This window comes from Homo sapiens, chromosome 9 (assembly GCF_000001405.40).
Source record: "Homo sapiens chromosome 9, GRCh38.p14 Primary Assembly".
In the NCBI taxonomy this organism is placed as follows: Eukaryota; Metazoa; Chordata; class Mammalia; order Primates; family Hominidae; genus Homo; species Homo sapiens.
In genome coordinates this window covers 31,833,989-31,858,378 of record NC_000009.12, presented here as the reverse complement: position 1 = coordinate 31,858,378, position 24,390 = coordinate 31,833,989, and the positions used below count along the sequence as shown (strand labels likewise).

Sequence of the window (24,390 nt, the reverse complement as noted above, 5' to 3'; positions counted from 1 at the left end):
TTTTCATTTGTTTGTGTTATCTCTGACTTATTTCAGCAGTGCTTTGTAATTCTCATTTTAGATATCTTTCACCTCCCTGGTTAGCTGTATTCCTAAGCATTCTATATTTTGTGGCTATTGCGATGTGATATGCATTCTTGATTTGGCATTTAGATTGGACATTGTTGGTAGATAGAAATGCTACTGATTTTGGTACATGGATTTTGTATCCTGAAACTTTGTTGAAGTTGTTTATCAGATCTAGAAGCTTTTGGACAGAGACTATGGGGTTTTCTAGGTATAATAAAATCATATCATCTGTGAAGAGATGTAGTGAAGGGATATAGTTTGATGTTCTCTGTTATTTGGATGCCTTTTATTCCTTTCTCTTAACTTGATTGCTCTGGCTAGGACTTTTAGTACTGTGTTGAATAGGAGTGATAAGAGTGAGCATCCTTGTCTTGTTCTGGTTCTCAAGGGTAATGTTTACAGCTTTTTCTCATTCAGTATTATGTTGCCTGTGGGTTTGTCACAGATGGCTCTTATTATATTGAGGTATGTTCCTTCAGTGCCTAGTTTGTTGAGGGTTTAAAACATAAAGGGCTATTGAATATTATTGAAAGTCTTCTGCATCTGTTGAGATGATCATGTAGTTTTTGTTTTTAGCTTTGTTTATGTGAGGAATCACATTTATTGATTTGCCTATGTTGAAGCAACCTTGCATCTCAGGGATAAAGGCTACTTGATCATGGTGGATTAGCTTTTTGATGTACTGCTGGATTTGGTTTGCTATGATTTTGTTGAAGATTTTTGTGACTATGTTCATCAGGTACGTTGGTCTAAAATATTCCTTTCTTGTGTCTCTGTCAGGTTTTGGTATCAGAATGATGCTGGCCCCATATAATGAGTTAGGGAAGCGTCCCTCCTACTCAATTTTTTGGAATAGTTTCAGTAGGATTGGTACCAGCTCTTCTTTATATGTTTGGTAGGATTCAGCTTTCAGCTGTGAATTTGTCTGGTACAGGACTTTTTCTGGTTGGTAGGCTTTTTGTTACTGCTTCGATTTCGGAACTTGTTGTTGGTCTATTCTTGGTTTCAATTTCTTCCTTGTTCAATCTTGGGACATTGTATGTTTCCAGGAATTTGTTCATTTCTTCTAGCTTTTCTAATTTGTTTGCACGTAGGTGTTTATACTAGTCTTTGAGGGTTTTCTTTAATATATTTATGTGGCATTGATAATAATGTCCCCTTTATCATTTCTGATTGTTTATTTGGATCTTCTCTTTTTTTTTTCTTTTTTAGTCCAGCTAGCAGTCTATCAATTTTATTTTTTCTTTATTCATTCAAAGAACTGACTTTTGGTTTTTTATTCTATTTATTATTTATTTATTCTTTTATTTATTTTTATTTTATTTATTCTTTCAAAGAACTTTTAGTTTCATCCACCTTTTGTATGCCTTTTTGCATCTCAATTTCATTCACATCAGCTATAATTTTGGTTATGTATTGTTTTCTACTAGTTTTGAGGCTGGTTTGCTCTTGTTTTTCTCCTTCCTCTAGGTGTGATGCTAGGTCTTTCTAACTTTTCCATGTTGGCGTTTAGCAAAACTATACTCTAACATTGCTTTAGCTGTGTCTCAGAGCTTCTGGTATTCTGTATCTTTGTTGTCATTAGTTTCAAATAATTTCTTGGTATCTGCCTTAATTTTATTGTTTACCCAAAAGCAATTCAGAAGCAGGTTATTTAATTTCCATGTAATCATATGGCTTTGAGAGAGCTTCTTAGAACTGATTTCTATTTTTATTGCATTGTGGTTTGACATTAGAATTGATTTCTATTTTTATTTCACTGTGGTCTGACAGTGTGGTTGGTGTGACTTCGGTTTTTTTGAGTTTGTTGATAACTGTTTTACGGCCAATCGTGGGTTCAATTTCAGGTATGTCCTATGTGTAGATGAGAGGAATGTATATTCTGTTGGAGGTGGAGTGTTCTGTAGATGACTGTTAGGTCCATTTGGTCAAGTGTTAAGTTCAGGTATTAAACATCTTTGAGAGTTTTCTGCCTCAATGATCTGTCTGACACTGTCAGTGGGGTGTTGACATCTCCTACTATTATTGTGTGGTTATGTGCATCTCTTTGTAGGTCTCCAAGAACTCATTTTATAAATCTGGCTCCTCTAGTGTTGGGTGTACATATATTTAAGATAGTTAAAATCTTGTTGTTGAATTGAACTATTTATCATTATACAATGCCCTTCTTCGTCCTTTTTTTTATTGTTGTTGGTTTAAGGTTTGTTTTGTTTAAAATTAGAATAGCAACCCGCTGCTCTTTGTGTTTTCTGTTTGTTTGAACCAATGGGTGTCCTTGCATATGAGATGGGTGTTCTATAAACAGCATATAGTTGGGTCTTGCTTCTTTATCAAACTTGCCATTCTACGCCTTTTCTGTGGGGATATGTAGCTCATTTATGCTCAAGGTTAATACTGATACGTGCAGATTTGATCCTGTCATTATTTTGTTAGCTGGTTGCTATGAAGACTTGATTGGGTAGTTGCTTTGTAGTGCCAGTTATCTATGTAGTAAGTGTGTTTTTATGGTGGCTTGTAATGGTCTTTTGTTTCCATGTTTGGCACTCCCATAAGGGCCTCTGGTAAGGCAGTCTGATGGTAATGAATTCCCTCAGCATTCACTTGCCTGAAAGGGTTTTATTTCTCCTTCACTTATGAAGCTTACTTTGACTGGATATAAAATTTTTGGTTGGAATTTCTCTTCTTTAAGAATGCTGAATATAGGCCCCCAATCTCTTCTGGCTTGTAGGGTTTCTGCTGAAATGTCTCCTATTAGCCTGATGGGTTCCCTTTGTAGGTGACCTGCCCCTTCTCTTTAACTGCCTTTAATATTTTTTCTTACTTACTGACCTCAGAGAATCTGATGACTACATGTTTTGGGGATGGTCATCTTGTATAGTATCTCATGGCTGTTCTCAGCATTTCCTGAATTTGAATGTTATCCTCTCTATTGAGGTTGTGGAAAGACTCATGAACAATATTCTCAAATATGTTTTGCACATTGGCAGCTCTCTCCCCCTCTCTTTCAGGGACACCAATGAGTCATAGGTTTGTCTCTATATAATCCAATATTTCTTTGAGGTTTTGTTCATTCTTTTTAATTCCTTATTGTTTATTTTTATCAGACTAAATTGATTTGTAAAATTGGTCTTCGAGATATGAGGTTCTTTCCTCAACTTGGTCTACTCTGCTGTTAATACTTCCAATTGTATTATGAAGTTCTTGTAGTGAGTTTTTCAGCTCTATCAGATCAGTGTGGTTCTTTTTCAAAATGGCTATTTAATCTTTCAGCTCTTGTATCACTATATTGGATTCCTTAGATTCCTTGGATTGGGTTTCAACTTTCTCCTGAATCTCAATGATCTTTGTTCCTATCCAGATTTTGAATTCTATGCCTGTCATTTGACCATTTCCACCTGGATAAGAACCATTGCGGGGGAACTAGTGTGGATGTCTGGATGTAAGAAGACACTACGGCTTTTTAAGTTCCCTGAGTTCTTGAGCTGTTTCTCTTTCATCTGAGTGGCTGATGGTCATTTGGTCTTTGAAACTGCTTTTCTTTGGATTTTTTTTGCTTTTATATTATTTAATTACCTTGAGGGTTTGACTGTGATATAAGGTAGGCTGAGTTCACTAGCTTTGTTTCTGGAAAATTTCAGGGGGCTAAGGCTTTGCTTGGCACTCATGAGCTGTGGATTCTAACCCTGGGGGCTGGTACCAGGCCTATGGGTTTGTTCCCTAGCCCCTGAAGGTTAAGCACCTGCTGAACTGGAGGGGCTGAGGTATTCCTGGTCCACTGGCAACAACACTTCAATGGGGAGTGCAAGCTAATGTGCTTCACTGGGGGAGTGGCAGAGGGTCTGAGCTCATATGCACATGCCAGCAGTGGCAGTGGCATGGCAGGGTGCACATGTGTCAGTGGGCATGTGGTTCCAAAGGGAGACGGGGTGGCAGTGCAGTGGAGTACACGTGCGTCAATGGAGGTGGTGGGCTGTGCTTGTGTGCTGGTGGTGGAGGGGTAGTGTGTTCTACTTGCACACATGACAGCAATGCAGTGCACAAGGGCTGCAGATGAGTGCATGACAACAAAATGGTGGGGGGAGGCTACAGGTGGGTGGTTGTGCATTGGCAGGGTCCTTTGTGATGGAGTTCTCTGATGGTCATGTGCAGTCTGCCAGTGAAGTAGCCTTGGTGTTGGCTGCTAGGAAGCAACTTGTTAGGCACCTGAGGCTACAAGTGGGTGTGGCCAGGCAGGGACCCCATGAGAGCCTGGAAAACAGAAGGGAGTTCAGATCAGACTGGCTTCATCTCACAGGCAAGACAGCCCAACTCTGTCCAGGTCCAACAATCAACAAAGGCCAAAACCACCTAGAAGAGTGTGGCGAGCCTTTAGGGATGGCTGTCCCAGTTCATACTCCACTGCAGCCATTCCCATGCCATACCCTGTGGGCTTTACACAGGCTAAAGTCCTGTCCCTGCCACCTCTCCAAACTGCTTTCCCTTTCAGCTTGTGTCTGTAGGGGCTGTGAGGTCTCCTGCACTAGGATTCTGGAGATCTTTGGCAGTATAATATAGTATGCTCACTCCTTACTCATTTAACTCACCTCTTCCCCAGGAACCACTGGGGTCCAGGAATGAGTCCTGGTACACAGTAGCCCTGTGCAGGTTTCCCAGCCGCCTTACTCTTCAGCCTAGGATCTATATCCTCCCTCTGTTTGTTCTCAATGCTTTCCTTCTGAAGATATGCCTGGAGTGTTCCAGTTTTTTTGATGGTCTAGTATCTCATTGGGAGAGCCATCTTGGCTCCTTCCTGGGCCAAATAATTGAATGGGGATTTAACAAAAGAGGAAATCCAAATGATTAATAAACGTAGGTAAAAATACTGAACCCCAATAGTAAGTCAAATTTAAAATCACAACCACCATATTGCCAAACAATAAAAAATGTCTGTCAATACTAGTTGTTGATGAATTTGTAGAGCAACAGAAATTTCCATACCCTACTACATAATAGGCAAATTGGAATACAACTTTGGAAAGCAATATAACATTCTCTAGTAAGTTTAATGACAGGCATATCTCATAACTTATCAATTTCAGATCTGAGAGTATACCCTGAAGAAATATATGCCCATATGCCAGGAAACATGTACAAAGATGTTCATAACAACATTATTTCAAATAGATTAAAAACAGAAAAAAAAGTTAAAAAAATACACAATAAACTGGATGGCTTACTTTTAGACTTTCCATACAATGTCCTTTATACAATGGAGTAATTGACAAAAGTGAATGTGCTAGGGCCGCATGTAATAACAACAATGCAAATAAATTTTACAAACAAAATGTGGAATAAGAGAATTCAGTCAGAATACATACATTTATATAAAGTTTAAAAAGATGAAAAACTAAGCTATATCATTTGATGATGCTCCTATAAGTTAAAACCATAAACAAATAGAAGAAAGTTACTTTCAAAAGTTACCATACTGGTTATGGCCTTGGGAGAGTGAAAAGACCATGAGGGGAAGACACACCTGGAGAGCATCAGGAGTGCAGAAAACATTCCATCTTGTGACTTGCCTAATGGTTACAGAGGCACTCACTTAATATTTATCATTTAGGATACATGTACTCTTCTGAATGTGTGTATATATCATTAAAAAATTGAAATATTTACATTGTTTATTAATTCCTGGAACAGTTTAAATCCCATGGGAAGTAACCATTCCCTGAAGATATGACAAATCCATTCATGCAAGTCTCTGAACTTAGACGTTCTTATAAAAGTAATTATTTGATAATGTCTTTTTAAATTTTACTTTCTCATTAATTCATCTGCTCAGGTGTATATTTCTGAAATGATTATTTGCATTTTCCAAGAAAGTCACCCTTTGGGAAGATTTTCTCCATTATATTACCATAAAGTTGTCCAATAAAATCATATATTTTAGGTTATATATGTGTGTATGTGATTGCTGTCTTTTTGCCATTCCTCAATATTATGACTTATATGTCTAGTTATATATCTAACATTCTGTTTGTGGGAATTTCCAGCTTTTGCTACCATGAGTATTGCTGTGAACAATATCGTTGCATGTACATATTCTCACTTAATTGTCTTCATTTCTGTATGCTTTGCCAGATGCTTCATTCACACTATGGTAATGTCTGAGACTGTCCATTTCCTTATATCCAATATTAAATCTTAATATTACCATACATTTTAATTTTGCCAGTTTGATGAATAAAAAACAAATTCTCATTTTATAATTTGCATTCTTCTGATTATCAGCAAGCCTGAACATATTTTTTCATTACTTATTGTCCATTTCCATTATTTACATTTCCACTCACATGAATTTGTTTTCTATTTTCTTTTCCCAATTATACTTCTTGAATTTGCTTCTTTTACAATGAATTTACAGTTGGTGTATAGAACTGTTAACCCTTTGTCTACATACATGTCAAAAAATTTCCCCATTATATCAGCTCCATTTTTCTTAACAATTCTCATGTTCAATGTCTTTTGCCATGGAAGAATATTTATTTTTATACAATATTCCTTTTTTTCATTTAAGACTTTTGGATTTTATTCCCTCCATAAGAAATTTTCACTCACCTTAATGTATGCAAATATTATTTTCTAAATTATATATGTTTTCTATAATTATAGATTATATTCATAATTGTATAAGTAATCATATATAATTGTATATAATTATATAGTGCAAAAAATTATCTGGAATTTAATTCTTTATATGTTGTAAGGGACAGCCTATTCTTTTTAAATCAACAAATATTTTTCTTCATTTGACTTTTCCATGACTGTCTTTGTATACACGTACCCTTTCTTTTGCTGATTGTACTAGATGAGGTATAATGAAGCATTCCAAAGTATGGTGTTTGAAGCTGTTTTGGCCCTGCCTATTGTTAGGTATATGAATGGGAGCAAATAACTATATGAATTTTCTCTTTTCCAATTCATCATCCTTATGTTATCTCCAATAATACTTTGTTCTACTTAAAAATAATTTTAATTGAACATCTAGATAATTTCTTTTTTGCTAATATTAATGTATTTAATGGTGTACTTTTTCATAGATTTTTGCTTTTATTAGAACCACAGATTTTGTTGTGTACTATTACCCTTATCCTAATGCGAAGAATTGCCCTTTTGATTTCTTTTAGAACAAAGAGTTATATAGGATAGTGATTCAAAAAATACAAATGATTGAATATTTTTATATTTCATAAATAAAGTTATTTATTGCATAAACCTCAGTATTTAAAACCTGCTTTGGAGTAATTACTGAGGATTTCTCTCTTCTCTGATACACAATCAATTTTTATAAGTCATCCATGGGCACTAGAAAAGAAGTTGCTTTGCAAATCTTTTTGCAATGTATAATATTTAATGCAGTTTATTCACTAGATTTATATGCGTCATCTATATTATCCCTAGCCATTTTATTATAATTTATCCTTCAAAGTGTTAGAAATGTATATTAAATCTTCTGATTACTACTGTTGAAAATAAATATACGTTGTCTTATTATTTATACTGTTCTTGCCATTATAACCTATAGACACTTTATAGCCAAAAGAACATTTCTTTCTGGTTATGAAAATTCTCTAGGCTAAAGAGAGAGAGCAGAGATGTTTATTTATATTGGAAAAATTGCCAGCATGGGCTAGGGGGGTGAGTTTCAAACTTCCCTATGTCTAAATAGAATAGTCGTAGTTAACATACATAACTTGTAGAATTAAGCGTGATGAGGTTGTGTGTTATACTGGCCAGTTTTCATTTGAAAATTTAAACTAGTTTAAGTAAAACAACAACAACAAAAAACTGATCTAAGGAAATAATCTGTAGAAAAAGATGAGATAGATAACCCTGGTATAAATAGTTCCAGCCTCCAAAAGCTGTCAGCAGTCTGTGCTTCCTCTGTGTTCTCTCAGATGGAATAAGCTCAGGAGTATAGAATCATTGCTTATATATTTTCAAACTCACCCAGAAATGGTGGGTGGGGAAATTCTCCTGCATTCACTTCAATCAGAAAAAATTCAGTGAAGTGTTTTGATTGATTTGTTGGCATTTGAACCCCTCAAAAAAGCAAGGGCGGTAGTCCCATGAATGCTCAGATCTCAGACCTGTGTCTGCCTCTATGGATCAGGAGATGGGGTGCTGTCATTGGCCACACTCATGGGGTTAGAGTGGGAAAGGAGTTGAAGAACAGGGTATGACCCTAGAAGAAGATGTTAAAGTGCTGCAAGGAAGAAAAAAGGTATTGTCTCTCCAAAGCGAAAGGGAAAGGAGAAGAGGCACTAAGAATAGTTTAATTCAGATGTGGGAAGAGGATGTGCAAGGAGAAGAAGCAAACATTTAAAACAGTCTGATGATGGAGAGGCAGACCCACAGAACTGTGGAACTGTGAATGTTAGAAGGACATCATTCTTGAGGCTCATAAGGAAGCAAAATGCCTCACTCTTTCCCTTGAGTTGTCTATTACAAGGTCCTGAATTAGAGTAAAAGTGCCATCTAAACTCTGGGCTTTTTTTTTTTTTTTTTTTTTTTTTTTGAGAAGGAGTCTCACCCTGTCACCAGGCTGAAGTGCAGTAGCATGATCTCGGCTCACTGCAACCTCCGCCTCCCAGGTTCAAGCGATTCTCCTGCCTCAGCCTCCTGAGTAGCTGGGACTACAGGCCCGTGCCACCACGCCTGGCTAATTTTTGTATTTTCAGTAGAGACGGGGTTTCACCATGTTGGCCAGGATGGTCTCGATCTCTTGACTTCGTGATCCACCCGCCTCGGCCTCCCAAAGTGCTGGGATTACAGGCGGAAGCCAGCGCGCCTGGTCACCCTCGGCTTTCAAATACTGTCTCAGACCAAAATATTATAATTTTACTATGTATTACCCCATACTAGGACAACCAAAACTTTGCAGAGAGTACAAACAGTGATAGTTGCGGAGCCTGGCCTAGTAAAATGGCTTCTAAAAGGAAAAAACAAGCTTAACTGCTGACGGGGTAGAGAACAGGGAAAAAAAAAGGTTTAAAAATGCCTAGAGAAGAACTTCTTATTCTTACACAACTGTTTTCTTTACCAGGAGAAAAGCTTAATTACTGTCTGATGGAGTAAAACCCGTTGGCTGGGGAAGGGGAAGTCTCCAGAGATGTGGTGGAAAACGCCAGCCAGCCAGCTGTGTGGGACCCTTGGGCCATAAGTCCCAGCCATGGTAAGGATGGGGGGGTAGAGGGGAGCCGTTGCTCGCAGATCTGACTTGAAAAAGGAAGGAAAAGGCCAGGAAAAGGCTTTGGAGTGACAGGGGGTAGGCGCATGGTTTCCCCCACCCTCAGAAGTCCCAGGATGAAAAGGTTTAGAAACCACAGTGAGAGAGTTTTGAGTCTCCATTTCACTCACCGCTTCTCAAGTCCCCACGTTGCGCGCCAAAATTGTTGCAGGGCTTTTCCTTAGTTCCGTTAAAGACGGGGTTCTTTGTCCCACGGCCACAAAAATTCAGGCTCGCAGACAATTTGAATGATGAGTAAGACCCGGTTTTATTGGGTGGAAAGAAAGAAAAGGGGGAAACAGAGACTCTCACTAAGCCAGAGTCCCTGCTAGGGCACTTTGCCTGGCGGCTTGAATCCCAGGTTCCACACAGGAAGAGGAGGAGCCAGGCTCCTCCCCGCTGCAAAGGGTAGGAGCTTCCCAAGGCTGCCCTCAGTGCACAGGCCGGCTGGAGTTTTTTCGGGCACCCACTCGTACCTGGCTCTCTCATACTCACAAGTTAAATGCCTTATCCATCTTAACTAAACACTTATTATACACTGTGGCTGTAACTTTTGCATTTTGAGGTGTGACAGCAAAACTAGAACATATTTCTTTCTTTTTCACAATTTTATAGAAAGTTCATTCTTACTTTAGATCTTAGAAACCTCAGCAAATGATTTTGTTTTCTTTGCTTACTAAGTGAAGAACTTTCAACCTTTTTACTTAAAGGCAGCCCTTTACAACTTCTCTTTGGCATATCTGAATTGTCATAATCACTACTCTTTTGCTTCAGGGCCATTATTAAGTAAAATAAGAGTTACTTGAAGACAAGCAATGTGATACCATGACCCATGATCTTGTATCCAAGATGGCTACTTAGTGACCAAAGTGCAGGCAGTGTATACAGCATGAATATGCTGAACAGAAGGATGATTCATGTCCTGGGTGGGATGGAGAGGGACAGCATGAGATTTCATTAGGCTACTCAGAATGATCCACAATCTAAAATTGTGAATTGTTTATTTTGGAATTTTCCTTTAATATTTTCAGACCATGGTTGACTACGGGTAACTGAAACCACAAAAAGTAAAACAACAGATAAGCAAGAACTACTGTATTTTACACAGATGGTCCCCAACTTAAGATGGTTTGACTTACAATTTTTTACCTTTACAGTGATGAGAAAGTGATACACATTCAGTAGAAACTGTACTTTGAGGACCAGTACAACCATTTTGTTTTTCACTTTCAGTACATTATTCAATACATTACATAAGATATTTAATACTTAATCATAAAACAGGCTTTGTGTTAGATGATTTTGCTGATGGAAATATTCAAGCACTTTTAACGTAGGCGAGGCTGAGCTTATAATGTTTTGTAGGGCAAGTGTATTAAGTGCATTTTCAACCTAACTGTATATTCAACTTACAATGGAGATATAAACTCATTGTAAGTGGAGGACCATCTGTATACTGTTTCTATATTGCTATTTTGTCATGTAATATCACCTAATAAAAATTTTATACCTAATATTCTTTGAAAAATTAAGTTCTAATTATTACCTGATTCCAACATATGACTATACTAACAGGTAGTTATTTTCTTATACTTGGACATTTATATTATCTTTACTTTTTACCATCATAAATAATGTTGTATAAACATTTAAAATATAAATTTTTGTGGGTACCTCTGAATATCTTTTAAGTATAAAAAATTTAATGTTGGATTACTGGTTCAAAATGATAGAAATTTTTAATGCTGTTTATACATTTCACCAATTTATTTTTCTAGATGGTTTCACCATCTAGATGGTTTTCCATTTCCACAGGAAGCCTTATGCCCAATTTCTGAAAAATGATTTTTAAATTTTTGCCAATTTCATACATGAATACTAATATTTCATGTTAATATTATTTTCTTTAATTTTAAATGTGATTGAATATTTGTTGATTCTTTATCATGATTTCTGATTTTCTATATTTAGCAATGTTTTAACGGTATATTATTTTATTAAAATATATGTAATATATATTTATATATATTTTTTCCTTTTGCTTGATGCCATCTTTTTTACTGTATGCTTTAGAATTCTATCTTGAGTGATTAATCAAATAGTATAATATGTTTTCTTCTAGCTTTTTATGGCTTATGTCCATTTAATTAGTTGATTCATTTACTATATAGTTACATGTATAAGGTAAGATAATAATTTAACTTAATTTTCTTCTGAACATTAAAAAATCTATGCAGTTTTTAATTAGCTTGCAATTTTTTCTTACAGCTGTACTAAAATCTGTTCCATGTGTTTTGTTCTGACAATTGATCTCTCTGAGTTTGCACTGCTATCATACTTTTTATAATGTGTATTTATTTTGATTATTTGAATAGCACTGGCTGTTTTCAAAATATTTACAAAATAAAACACAGTATAAAAAGAGAAAAAACCCATGAATGATTTCATCATCACTGATAACATTTCTGCCTTATTTTGTGCAGTCACAGTTTTGTGCACCAAAACAACACAAGCACTCTAAAGTGATATGGAAGAATTGTTTCTATTTTGCCCTCTGAATGATTGATTTCATTTTTGCCTGATGTACTCTTTTTTGCTTCAAATAAACTCTTTAATTCTGTTATTAAATTTTGAGTTTCCTTGTAATCCAGTTTTATCTCATCTTTTTGCTACTCTTTCATTGAATGCTGTGTTTTCTAACTTCCTAACAAAGGTGTATGAATATGCTTAAAGATTTCCTTTTGTTCTATAGCAAATTCTTTCCCGATGTATTAATATTTGTTTTCTTTAACTCTTTAGAATCATGTACATGTTAACTTTCATTTTTCTTATTTATCTAATTTATTATTTATCAATCAATTTACCTACCTTCTTACATACTCATCCTTGTCCTAGAACATGAAGAGATTCAAACAGACCCAATGCCTACCAATAAATAAGCTGGAACTTTATCTTGAGCAGGTACTCTGTCTTTGCTATGGTATTACAATATTATAATTTTCTTCTCATACCAATAGCTGAAGGGCAAGATAACGAGAACAACTCTCAAGATAATTTACACTTTCTAACAGGAATGCATTTAGCGTAGCATTGATAGATTTTGATTGGAATTTCTTCACCTCCTACAGTCTGTTTCTGTGATACAACAAACGCATTAAATAATTTATAAGAATGATCCCCTCCATGAATTGCTACTAGTGGTTTTTTGAATATGTTTTCCCAAAGTGCTTTATCTGCTGGGACTTTACTTCCCAGAATGTAATATGTTATCCCTCAATTTCCTTCAATTTTTTTTTCTTCCTTGGAAGTTGAACTTTCTAGTTGGATGCATGAAGAAAGACAGCATCAGGGAGGTAGGGAATGGAATCATAATAGAGAGATGTTAGCTTGGTGTTTGGGTTGACACAACCAGAATTATCAAATCAGGAAACAGGGAGTTAGTAAAAGGCCAAGTGTCTTTTCATCTTTTTAATTCTCAGATTGAGAAGCCTTATTATGGTTGTCAACTGAGCTCCAAAGGTTTTGTGGTTAGCAGAAATTTCTCTGGTGTGGCCAGTAGACCAGGTGTATATTTCTGTTGTTAGTATTACTAAGAAATTTCTTCTTTTCAGGGCTCCATTAGAATTTTAGTGACAAATTGGAAGAGGCTGATGCAGGAAGTATGGTCTTAGAAAATTTTAAACCAGAATCCCCCAGAGTATTTATATTTGCCATAAAAGGCTCAAGACCCTAATTCATGGAAATCTGGGGTTTATGTTTCACTATGTACAACATGGGGTTAGAGAGTAGACTCCAGTTACACTACTTCTTAAGATAATTTTTTTTTATTTTTTACTGTGGACTGTCTTCAATTAAGAATCATAGATAATAACAGTATTTATGTTGGCTAATTAATATTAAGCAATTTCTACATTCATTTATACTGCTTAAGATTGTAAAATGCAACATATAATGTGGATAGTATTCTAGTTTTTACGAGGTGTAAAAAATGTAACTATTTTATAAGATAACTTTATTAAAATAATCTTACACTTATAATTCAAAGGCCAATAATGTAAGTAGTAATTTGAAAGATCATTTTCAAAAAATTATTTACTTAAATACATAATTTTATTTCTTAGTAATTGACTGTCAGACAGAAGGGGTGGGGAACAATTAATGCTCTTTCGGAGAGAGGCTCCGACTCTTCTCATTACACTGGAGCAATTTTTCTTCTAAGAAATTCAAATTTTAAAGCATTCACTATATTTTATCCATGAGAATAACCTTCTTTTCTTGAAAGAGATTCTACTTAATTTTGAAGAAAATACAATTATCCTTAAGAAGATACAACTCTAAGATTAGTAAAAGATAGGGTTTTGAAAAAGCATTTTGAAGAATGTTCCTTTGCCCTTTTTTGTGGCATTTTCAGTAAAATCCCTGTCGTTTATAATTAAGGGTTCCTATTCTAATGTTCTATTCCAGTAACATCATAATGAAAAATACTAACTTAGTCTAAGCAAAAATGATGATTAGAAGTGGAAAGATTGGTAGAACCCATCAAGCTCAACTCCCTTATTTCGTCTGAACCCCAGAGTGGTTAAGTGACTTGCTCAAACCTATACAGCTTCTGATTGCCACACTGCAGGCCACAGGCAGCTCACTAGACTTCACAGTCTGCTGAAAATTATATTGTGTCTCTATGATGCAATGAAATGTTGGCTAGCCTATTTACGCTCAATAGAATAGATCGATGAAATTGGTACTTGATGGGATACATCTGCTTCGAGATATACCTATTCAGCCTACTTCAGGTCTGAGTGACTATTCTCCATTATTTAACTTATAATTTCCTTAATGTGTCCCTGCCAAATATCTTTTGTGCTTAATAGGAACAAAATGATTCCACCTACACAACCCCAGGAAAGTCCTGGTAAAAATATATTAAGATAGTACAAGATAATGAAATGATGACAAAGACATGATGAGTAAAACTCATTGAATCTCTGTGTATTTAGGCATATAGATTCTAAACTACCATGCCATTTTAATTACTGCTGTCCTCCTTATTGATTTTGTGACCTTGGGAAGCCACCTAACCACTCTGTCCCTCATTTTTTTCAACATCAATATTAACTTTGCAAAATATTACTGTATATGTCACTGCATCCTAAGTCTTAAAACAGCTTGAACCATCAATATCAAGGGAATTTCTGTTTGACTTAATTCATCTATCCAGAAAAGAATACTAGGAATTCTATGAGGAACCCAATCTATTATGCAAATTATCATGAACGTGAGACCAACTGGCCTTGTAATAGGGAGTAAGTTAAAGGCACATCCTACAAAAGATGCGTAAATCTCAGCAGTGTAGAAAAGAAAATTTTCTAGATATAAGTACAATTGTCTATGCCTAATATAGCAAAAACACTAATTGACCCAGAATCGAACAGAACCCAAAGGAATTGAATATGAAGAATTCCTTCATCTAATTTGATGTAGATGGCCCAGGAAACTAGCAAATGACCTTCTTAGAGGAAGTACAATAGAGTAAGGATAGGTACACAAATCCTGCTTTTCTTGCATCTATAATCTTGTAACAAAGCAAGCTTAAACAGAAGATTTCTCAACTGATTGTGATGACCTCAATAAAGCCACCAATTGAAGAAAACTGTACATCTAAGAGTCCCAAGTTCTTAGCTCATCATGGTGGCTTAGGAGATGAGGCTGCCCTTCAGTACCAGCCTGATGTAAAAATTAGTAAAACAGCTTCCTGCATTGGGCATATTTTATAATAAACTAAAATTGCCAAGAAACAAAGGTAATTTCTCTGATGTTGCTGTTAGCAAAATCAGTTTAAATTTATTTAGGTACTTGATTCTTCAGAATCTATCAAGTAAAAAAAAATAGACATTTTTTGCACGCTGGAATATAGAAGGGTTATGGGATTAATATTAAATATCTGGGACATAACTCAAGTTTCTTATACAAAAAAGTCACAGGGATTAAAAAGTCGAAATACATAAAACAATGGCCACCGCTTGGCCTCCATTCTGATGTCTGCCAGGTAACTGACACAGATGACTGTAAGTCAGTTTGCTAAAAGCTTTAATATTGCTGGCACCGGTACAGTTGAGAAGCAGTAGATGAGATGCAATTTGTCCAAATATAATTTTTTTCTTAATGTTGAGAATTGATCATGTCAGATTCACTCAGCATTTAAAAGTGATATGCTACACGTTCCTAAATCACTGTTAAAAAGATAACTCACGTACCATTCTCAGACTAATTCATAAAGTTTCTGGGTCAGGTGGCAGGTATAATTCTTGTCTCATTTTTCCTTCCTCTTTCATGTGCCTGCTGGAAAATCCCCCATCTATGGCAAATGAAATACCAGAAATACACAGTTGCTGTTCCTTAATGATCTTTTGCTATTTTTAGGCATTGCTTAGTTACTGGTTGTCCTGAAATGTCTCCGCATATTCAGAAAATAATTATCTGAGATTGGTTTTATTTCCATGATTTTATTTCATTCCAGTAATAGAACAAAAATTATGCCATGAAATAGGTTTTCTAGGGGTGCAATTGTGGAGTGAGGGATACATTCCTTTGATATAGGAAAAAGCTTTCACTCGTGAATTCCTAGGATGAGTTTAATGGACTTTTTTCTTGATGAAAAATCTCATATACTTAACTTTGTATTTAGAAATAAGCTGACTTCGTGCCCCTATTTGCTTCCCCCAACCCAAACAAGGTTATTTTTTGTCAGAAATTATATTTGAGGATGAAAACATTTACAAATTGTATTGACTATTCAGGCAGACTGAACTCTTCTTATATAAAAAATGTAAAACTATAGAATGTAAAAATATAAATGTATAATGTAAAATTAATTCCAGTTTTGAATGGTTTCGTGTGTATATATATACTCTCCTCAGGTATTCAAGTTTCATAATATCAGGGGCAATGATTTCTACTTCCTTGACTTCCCCTTCTGTTGCTCATCCATTCAGCTAAGTAGGTATTGCAATAATTAACAGATGGTTTTTGGATCATGTATTAGAAATTCAGAGCTGGATTTTGTAATTCTGTTACTGTGTCCTACCTAAGCATTTTCTGTAATTCTCAGTGCAGAACTGTCTGGTAAAGCTGTTATAGAAAAAAGTGTTACTCATATATATGACCGCTACTTGTTTTGTATATTTCTTCTGAACAAGGTATATAATATTAGTTTATTTATTTAGTATTTAATTAATAATCAGTTCTAATAGTGTGGTTTTTTTCCCTTTTTTAGTGAGTTATCTTGGATTTTCTAGGTAATCATATCAACTGCAAATTAATTTATTATCTCATTTTTCCAGAATGTATGCCTTTTTATTTCTTTTTCTTATTTTTTGTTTAGGCTAGTATGATCAGAAAAAATATTTACTAATGATTTAGTTATGAGTAACTTTATATTTTGGTTTGGTTTTATTTTTTATTTTACTAAATTTAATTAAAATGCTTCAATAATTTCTTCATTAAGCGTGATGATCCAATTCAGAATGGTTACATTTTAACATGTCAAGAAATAACTTTCTTATTTCGATTATACCCAGCATGCGAATTAAATTTTATAAAATTATTTTTACATTGACTTAGATAACATGATTTTCTTTTATGACCTATTTTAAACTAGTCAGTGTTTTTGATCGTGATGTATTTTTTATTAAATATATTTGCTTAGTTTGAGGATGATTTATTTTGAATAGATGAAATCATTTCATCTTCTTTTTTCTTTAGTTTTCCTTGCAGGCTTTAATATGTGTATTAGGAAAGATGTAAGAATAATAGACATGCTGAAATACGTAAGAATGAGGAAAATATTTCTTGTGCTTGCACACATGAAGAAAAATTTTGAACAAGTATTCCATGTTAAAACTCTTTAGATGTTGCTCCATTGTCTTATGATATTTTAGATTTGTTTTTGAGCATGGGAAGAAATTTCTTTCCTAGGTTATATACAACTTTTTCTGAATGAATATTCATAGGATTTTTCTTAATTCATATAATTAAATAATTCTGCCAAAATATATCTAGTTATTCTCTTTTTATTATTTTCTGCAAGTGTTCAGTATGCCTTTTGAATTTAGAATTCAAGTCTTCCCCCGCCAGCACCCGCCACTTGTTCTGCTAATTCTGTCTGCTATTTTTATCTTGGAGTATTTTTATCTTTCATTTTTTCCGACTTCACGTTTAAAAAAATGGAGCCTCCATAAAATAGGGCTTCAATTTCTGGCCTTCAGACCTAATGTGTTAATTTTGGTTATTATTACCTCTTTCTGATCTTTCTTTGCATTCCCAGAATATATGTCATATTGCTGATTTAATTTTCTGCAACGTTGTTTCTGTGGTGAGAATGTCCAGTCACAATGGTGAAAATCTTGGTGAATTGAGAAAGAGTCATTTTTCATATCACTAAAAATACTTTCTGTGAGTAAAATTAATCCACAATGTTGCCTGTTTTGGCAGCATTTACTCCTCAGTCTTTTGACATAACCTTCTTAGAATGCTTTCATCATAATGAACTACATAATTTTTCTTATTTTAATATCTGTTTGTTCATTCCAGTCATCATAGGGGACAGGTTGAGAGTCACAGTCATTTTCTCACAATGTCATCTTTTACATAAGTTAACATATAGTATGTACTTTAATAATAAATGGAAAGCTCAATGAACAATACATTTTTCAGTGGGTTTTATAATTAGAATAAAGATTCAGAGAAGATATTTCTTTTATATTTTTCCAGGACCTCACAAATGCAGGACTTTTTGGTGAAACATGCACATATAAATATTAAATTTTTTTTATGGAAATGAAATTTATAGAACAAACCACTATTTTCATATTTAGAAAAAAAGAGTATGTCTTCTAAGAGTGCAGCAAAACTCTTCTCTTAATTTTTTATTACATTTTAAAATAACATGGGTATCAGCAAAGCAAAAAAATGCTACCTTAATTTCTTATACATTTTTAAAGGAAAAAATAGTAGACTTGAAGTCCATTTTATAATTTTTTCTTTGTATGTTCACTCCAACATCAAGAATGCTATATATATATATATATATATATAATAATGCTATATATATAATCTGTCAATGGACTTTAATTAGCTGTCTGTAAAGAAACAGAAATTCATTAAGTGTGTTCTAGTCTCATGCAGAGTCAATGAAACTAGCTTTCAGGCTACAGTTTTCTCTTACTCCTGTTCATTCTCATTATTCTTCCAAAGAGATTCTTACCCCTTTTCAAAACAGTGTGTTTTACTTCTTAGAAGTGGCTTTCTTTTGAATGCAATTATTATTTAATGTTTAAATATTAATGTGCAAAAGGAGTTAGGCATTATAGTTCTTAAATCTCATAGTAATATTTTAAAAATAGAATTACCTCATGCAGAGGATGCTCAGGGTTCACAGTTGATTTTGAGTACACTACAGTAAATTGCCAGTTATTGTGGGCCCTCTGGTCTCAACACATTTTTTGCTGTAGGATTTGCTGCCATCTGTGGTGAGGTCTGAAAAGTAAGTGAACTACATCAACAGCTGATTTGGCAAGAGTCTGCAAAACATGTATTCTGGCCCCTTTCCACTGCTAAAAGGTGGGACTGGAGCTGAGTAAGAAGCTCTAGGTTTGCCAGACTCAAACTGAAAAAGGCAATTCAACTCTGAGGAAAAGATGCAAGGAACATGTTATTCGAGTGAATTTTCAGGAAAATCTGTGCACTCTAAAGCAAAACTAGATAAAAACTCTTGGCTAAACTAATGATTCATTACAGGGGAAAAAAACTATCAAGAAACCAAATTGAGATAAAAAACCTAAACTTTGGAAATTAAAAAAATGACCCTTTACATAAGAAGTCAGGCAGAAATAGCAAGCTTCTGTGGAATCATGTAATGAGCACACAGCATTCACTTCACATAATTCATGCATTCTACCACTTACTACTTAGCCAGAGTCACACAGAGATTTCTGGCAAACCACATGAGTTCCTTCATACAGCGAACACTCAATGATCCTATTGCACACAAGGATTATTCAACTTGATATTTTACAAAAATCAATTCTCTCCACAATGGAAAAGAAATCATTACAGTAGAGTAGGTAAAATTACTCTGAATGGATAAGCTCCAGAGTGTGATATGGCAATTTTAATTTTTGTAGTGCATTCAGCTTGGTGAAATGAAAAGAGAATTTGCTTATTCTACAAATATTTATAAGTGTCCCCTTCCTCCTCACTCTCTACCATGTGTTTGCTGGACCACTTATTAGAACACCTAGTTTCAAGTCAGAGTTATAATATCTGATGTATGATTTTTACCAGGTTACTCCTCTCCTTCTTATATGTAAAAGAAGGGCATTCAAATTGAGCAGAAGTTAAAAAACAAAATGTCTGGTAGAAATGACCCTGCTCAACTTTTTTCATGTTCATGGGAGAAAATTCTGTTCATATATTACAACATATACTTATCCCAGTTGAGGCATCTTAGAATCTTTCATGCTTGAACAACTGTTACTGATAGTCTGGAGGGTGAAAGCAAGATTGACTTCTTGGCAGGCCTCCATATTAGGTAACAATTTACATCACATCTCAAGACCAGGGAACCAACCAAACAAAAACCAAAGTTTGCACCTCAGCACAAGCCAAATAACCGAGTCATTATGTTTAATTCTAGTCTCAAAATTAGGGAAAGCTCAGATGTTCTCTGAGTTTTTGACTTCTTAAGTTTTGACTTCCTAATGCAAACACCTTCACCCTTGACTTTTATAATGCTGACAATTGATACCATGTCAGGATCTTCTTGGATATGATAATAATGGGAGAACATTGTTCTTTTTCTACCATAAACAAACTAACTGTAAATTTGATAACCTGGTAATTTTGCAGTTTTGTTTTTCCTTTAAACATATGTTCTGTCTTTATTTGATGAACCGATTTTTCAAAAATCTGGCTCCCTTGCAAACATCTTTTTGAGTAAATGACTTTTTCCTGAATGTTTTTCCTCTGCTTCTTCCTTCCCCAGGAGTTAAAATGTGACATGAAATCTCGCTATTATATTTGGACTAGAAGAGCTGCAAAGAGCATTTTCTGTTCAAATCGCCTAGGATTAAGTCTCCTCATGTAGTAGGTAAGTAAATGACCCAGGTTTCCTCCATTAGTTTTCAGTTCATCCATCTTATTGTTAATGGGCACAGGGTCAAGGGTAGACCGAGGTTTATTGTCATAATTTTAATATTTGGGTTTCATAAATTTTACAGCTTCATAGAATCAATACTTACAATAGCCACTTGTTCTTCAAAGTCTGAATACAAGCAGGACAGTCACAGCTGCTGCTGTAGAAACAATATAATCCATATTCAGAATCACTATACTTCATATTCAGAAACAATAGACTCTAATATATTCATACAAACTAAAGAAAATTGTTCATTAATTTGTTTCTTCTTTTTCTTATTTTAAACAAATGACAGGCAAAATTATTTCTTACTATAGAGTGAAACACCACCTCTTCCTCAAGGCTCAAGCTCAAATTACATATTATGTTCAAGAAAGCTTACGTTAATCCCTTAGTCTTTAATTGCACATTCATATGATAAATCTTTTCTATATATAGAGAGCTATTTTCTTGTTCAAATGGGATTAAAACATTTACATTTTTGTTTGCTTTGGATGTACAAAAGCGATGTTGGTCCCTGGAAAAGCAGGGAAACTGATGAGGAGCCCCAAGGCCTGAGTCCTGTTAGAAGTTGAGGGGCAGTTTTATCTTATGATTTTTAGCCTTTTAGAGTCAACGTGAAGAAAAAATACTGGACAAGCCAGTTTCAAACTGGAAAAGAAAAACTCCGTGCCTCAAGGTTTGGAGGTATTTAATTCTTTTACACATCCTAGGGAATAAGAGGAAGTGGGGACACTAAGCAAGAATGGCTGGAATTTAATGGAGTTTCTCACTTTAAAGCTAGAAGATATGCATGAGGGCTGTTCTAGAAGAAAGGAACCAACAGTGATGTGTTGACTGTGCTTTATGTCCTGAATATCTGAGTTGAGAGTGAGAGAGCCTGAACAGAAAGCATTTCTTCCTGGTTGCTACAGAAATAAAATAGTCTGGAGAACATCTGGGCCTCACAATTATTACTCACCATTAAACCTAAGGGAAGAAGACCCATGAACTTCTCCAGTAACAATGTGGAAAATGATTTCTGGTGCGGGTCAAAAAGGGATAGAACATTTGATAAAAACACAAATCTTTACACAAGTCAGATTTAAAATTCAAGTCTTAGGATAAAAGAAAAAGCAATGTCCCATAAAGTCTGGCTGAGGCAATGGAAATACTGGGCACCAACTCCAGTATATGGAAGATTTTTTTTTCTTTTTTCCAGAATCAAAGTCCTGGCTTCCTCCTCAAGGAGCATCTCATAACAAAAGCATCCAGAGTTCGGGCTGCTTTGGAGGAGCTTCACAGGGAATTTAACAGAATGCAGGGTGGAATGAGGTGAGTAAAGCAGAGGTAAGTGAAGCCCAGGGGACTGATGGCCTCAGTGCTGGGGATGTATAGACAGGGTAAGAGCTGAAGGCACCTTACCCCAGTGGTACATATTGGTGAGACTCAGTGTTGCCTATTGCTTTTGTCTATCTTAGTCTCAGAACTGAAGGCTGTAGAAATTAAATCAAATGCATGTTTAATTAATTCTTCAGGGTTTGACACCTACACTCATTTTCCAAAGCCACAGATCAGAAGATTTGTGATGTAAGCTTGTCAACGATGCTTTGGGCTTTTTAAATGTCTGAGTGAGTAAATTCCATTGGTTGGGCATCCAGATGGAAAGCTGCTCAACACCTCCTCCACATTACCAGTGGAGCAGGAGCTAGACACTATGTGGATATAGAGGTTACTTCCGATGCAGGCTGGGAGGTGAGGAGAGGGGTTGACATTGTGCAGGAGTCAGTAACAGAATTTGTAGACTGAGACTGAGATTGTGCCTGGCATACATGAGCTTAATCACATTTTTGAAACAGACAGTGCTTAGATTTGGTCTCTTCTACTTTTGTCTATCAATAAAGCCTTTCTTAAACTGGCCTGTCCTTTATCATCCTTCTACTTCTTCTAATCTAGTGTATCATTTTTGCCACTAACCTAACTAAAAATGAATAAGGTATTAGATAATGGTTTAAGCTGCAACACTTTTCAGAATGTCAGTAAGGCATGCTTGGAGATCTTCCTTCAAAGATTTCTATACTGAAATAAATGAATGTCGAAAGTCAAATGACTGCTAGTAACAATTGGTACATTTGACCAGTGGCCGCTAGGACTTGTGGGAGAGGCTCAGGTGTTATTATTATCTATCCCTGTCAATAAAATCTGTTCCTAATTTCCTTGAGTGACTTTTCATATGAACATATAATCAGGCTATGTGCATGTCCTTTTCATGTTATGCTAATGAAGACTTCTGAAGAAGAAAGTAACCAATAGTGATTTTTTAAGCAGCTTTGCATATGTGATGGGAGAAATATATACACAAAAAATTATTCTGAATGGCTTATACTTAACCTGAAACTCTCTGAAAAAAATTTACAAAAGAAAAATCATCACACAATTGATGAACTCCTTGATGTCATCAGGCTCTCTGATTAGGTGTGAGTATCCATGGGACCCCTGAGTCCCTGATATCTAAAAGATGAAACCAATAGCTCATCTCTCTCAAAGAAGCCAGATTCTTGGGGCTCCTGCCTGGCTATAGGCATGAAGAGGTGGAAGATGCCCAGAGTCACCATGTAGCTATCCACAGTTCACACTGGAAGACTTGAAAGTGAAAGGGAGTGTTATTCATAACTACACTGGGAAAGCAGGATGAAACCAAGACTTTCCCAGATGAACTGAGACATATGATCTCCTTAGCATTGCACTCTGTCCAGCTGGATAGCTTGATTTTTAAATACTGCCTGGACCTCTTGGCATCAGCAAAGAACAGGTTAGATTGCCCCAAAGAGCACTCTGTAGAACATGGCCCATGCTACTACCTACAGTCTGGCAGCATCACTGGCCTCTCTGCTACAATATGTTCTGATCTTACTTGTAATAAAATAGGTCACGAGACTTATTGAGTACATTAAAAAAGAAGAGTTATCTGGGTAGTGAACACACGTGGACCCAGGTCTCGAGTCTTTAGGAATTGATAGGTTTTACCAGAAGTCTTCTGGAGTTCATTTTAGAAAGCAAATCATCATTGATGGCCTGACATCAGCTGCTACCAAGTACCAAGGATAGGAGGTGGGGAACTTGCTTTTGGCAATGATGTATAGCACCTGCCTTAAGTTTGTGGGTGGGCACATGCTGCTTTAACAGCTTGGGCAAGTGCCCCAAGGCTTCCCAGCATGGCCTCTGGAGTCAGAGTGCTTGGGTGTTAATCCCAATTTGCTCACTTAGTATCTGTGTAGGCAAGGCACTTAGCTGCCTCGTTCCTCAGTTGTCACAACTGTGAGATGAAAATAATAACACTAACAACATTTATAGCCTTGTTTAAAATATTAGAAACTTGTAACAGTGACTGGCAATGAATATTAAAGGATCCCATGGTACCTATACCCTCAGTTCATGACAATGAGTAGAGCTGGAACAGCTGAAGCCCATTAAATAGCCCCCATTGCTAAAACATTTGTGTTTTACCATCTCCTGGTGCAATTTATGTTGATCATTTTTCTGTTCCCTTAACAGCAGCTTGGTAAGGCACATATTTCCAGCTGAGAGATCGGATAGAGAACTTTCACTCTTAGAAGACTCATTAGGAGTTTGCTAAAGGCAGGGGTAAGTAAGTCCCTTGCCTTGACTAGGCCAGATTCTTTTGGGATAAGCAATGAGACAGAAATTTTAGTGCATCAAGTCTAGGAGCCATTCAAGGAATTATTCTGTTGCCTTTTATTCTCTATTTGCAATAGCATCACACAACACTCAGGTATCATCACATTTGTTTTAGCTCACTGCATGTGAGGTGAATTCTTCCAAAAGTGCTAGCAGGTTTTCCTTCATTCCCAAAAGG

At 35.6% G+C, this 24,390-nt stretch overlaps 2 long non-coding RNA genes across 2 annotated transcripts in view; one reads left to right on the top strand and one right to left on the bottom strand.

Moving 5' to 3' along the window:
- Positions 1 to 9,718, bottom strand: part of LOC124902137 (uncharacterized) — a 137,318-nt gene extending 127,600 nt beyond the window's left edge. The window contains exon 1 of the long non-coding RNA XR_007061444.1: positions 9,472 to 9,718. This is a non-coding gene — a long non-coding RNA (uncharacterized LOC124902137). The remainder of the gene's footprint in view (positions 1 to 9,471) is intronic.
- LOC105376013 (uncharacterized) lies at positions 9,118 to 24,112 on the top strand. Its single transcript, XR_929549.2, has 3 exons — positions 9,118 to 9,286; positions 20,382 to 20,486; positions 21,736 to 24,112. It is a non-coding gene; the product is annotated as an uncharacterized LOC105376013 (long non-coding RNA).
- The last annotated feature ends 278 nt before the right edge of the window (positions 24,113 to 24,390 follow it).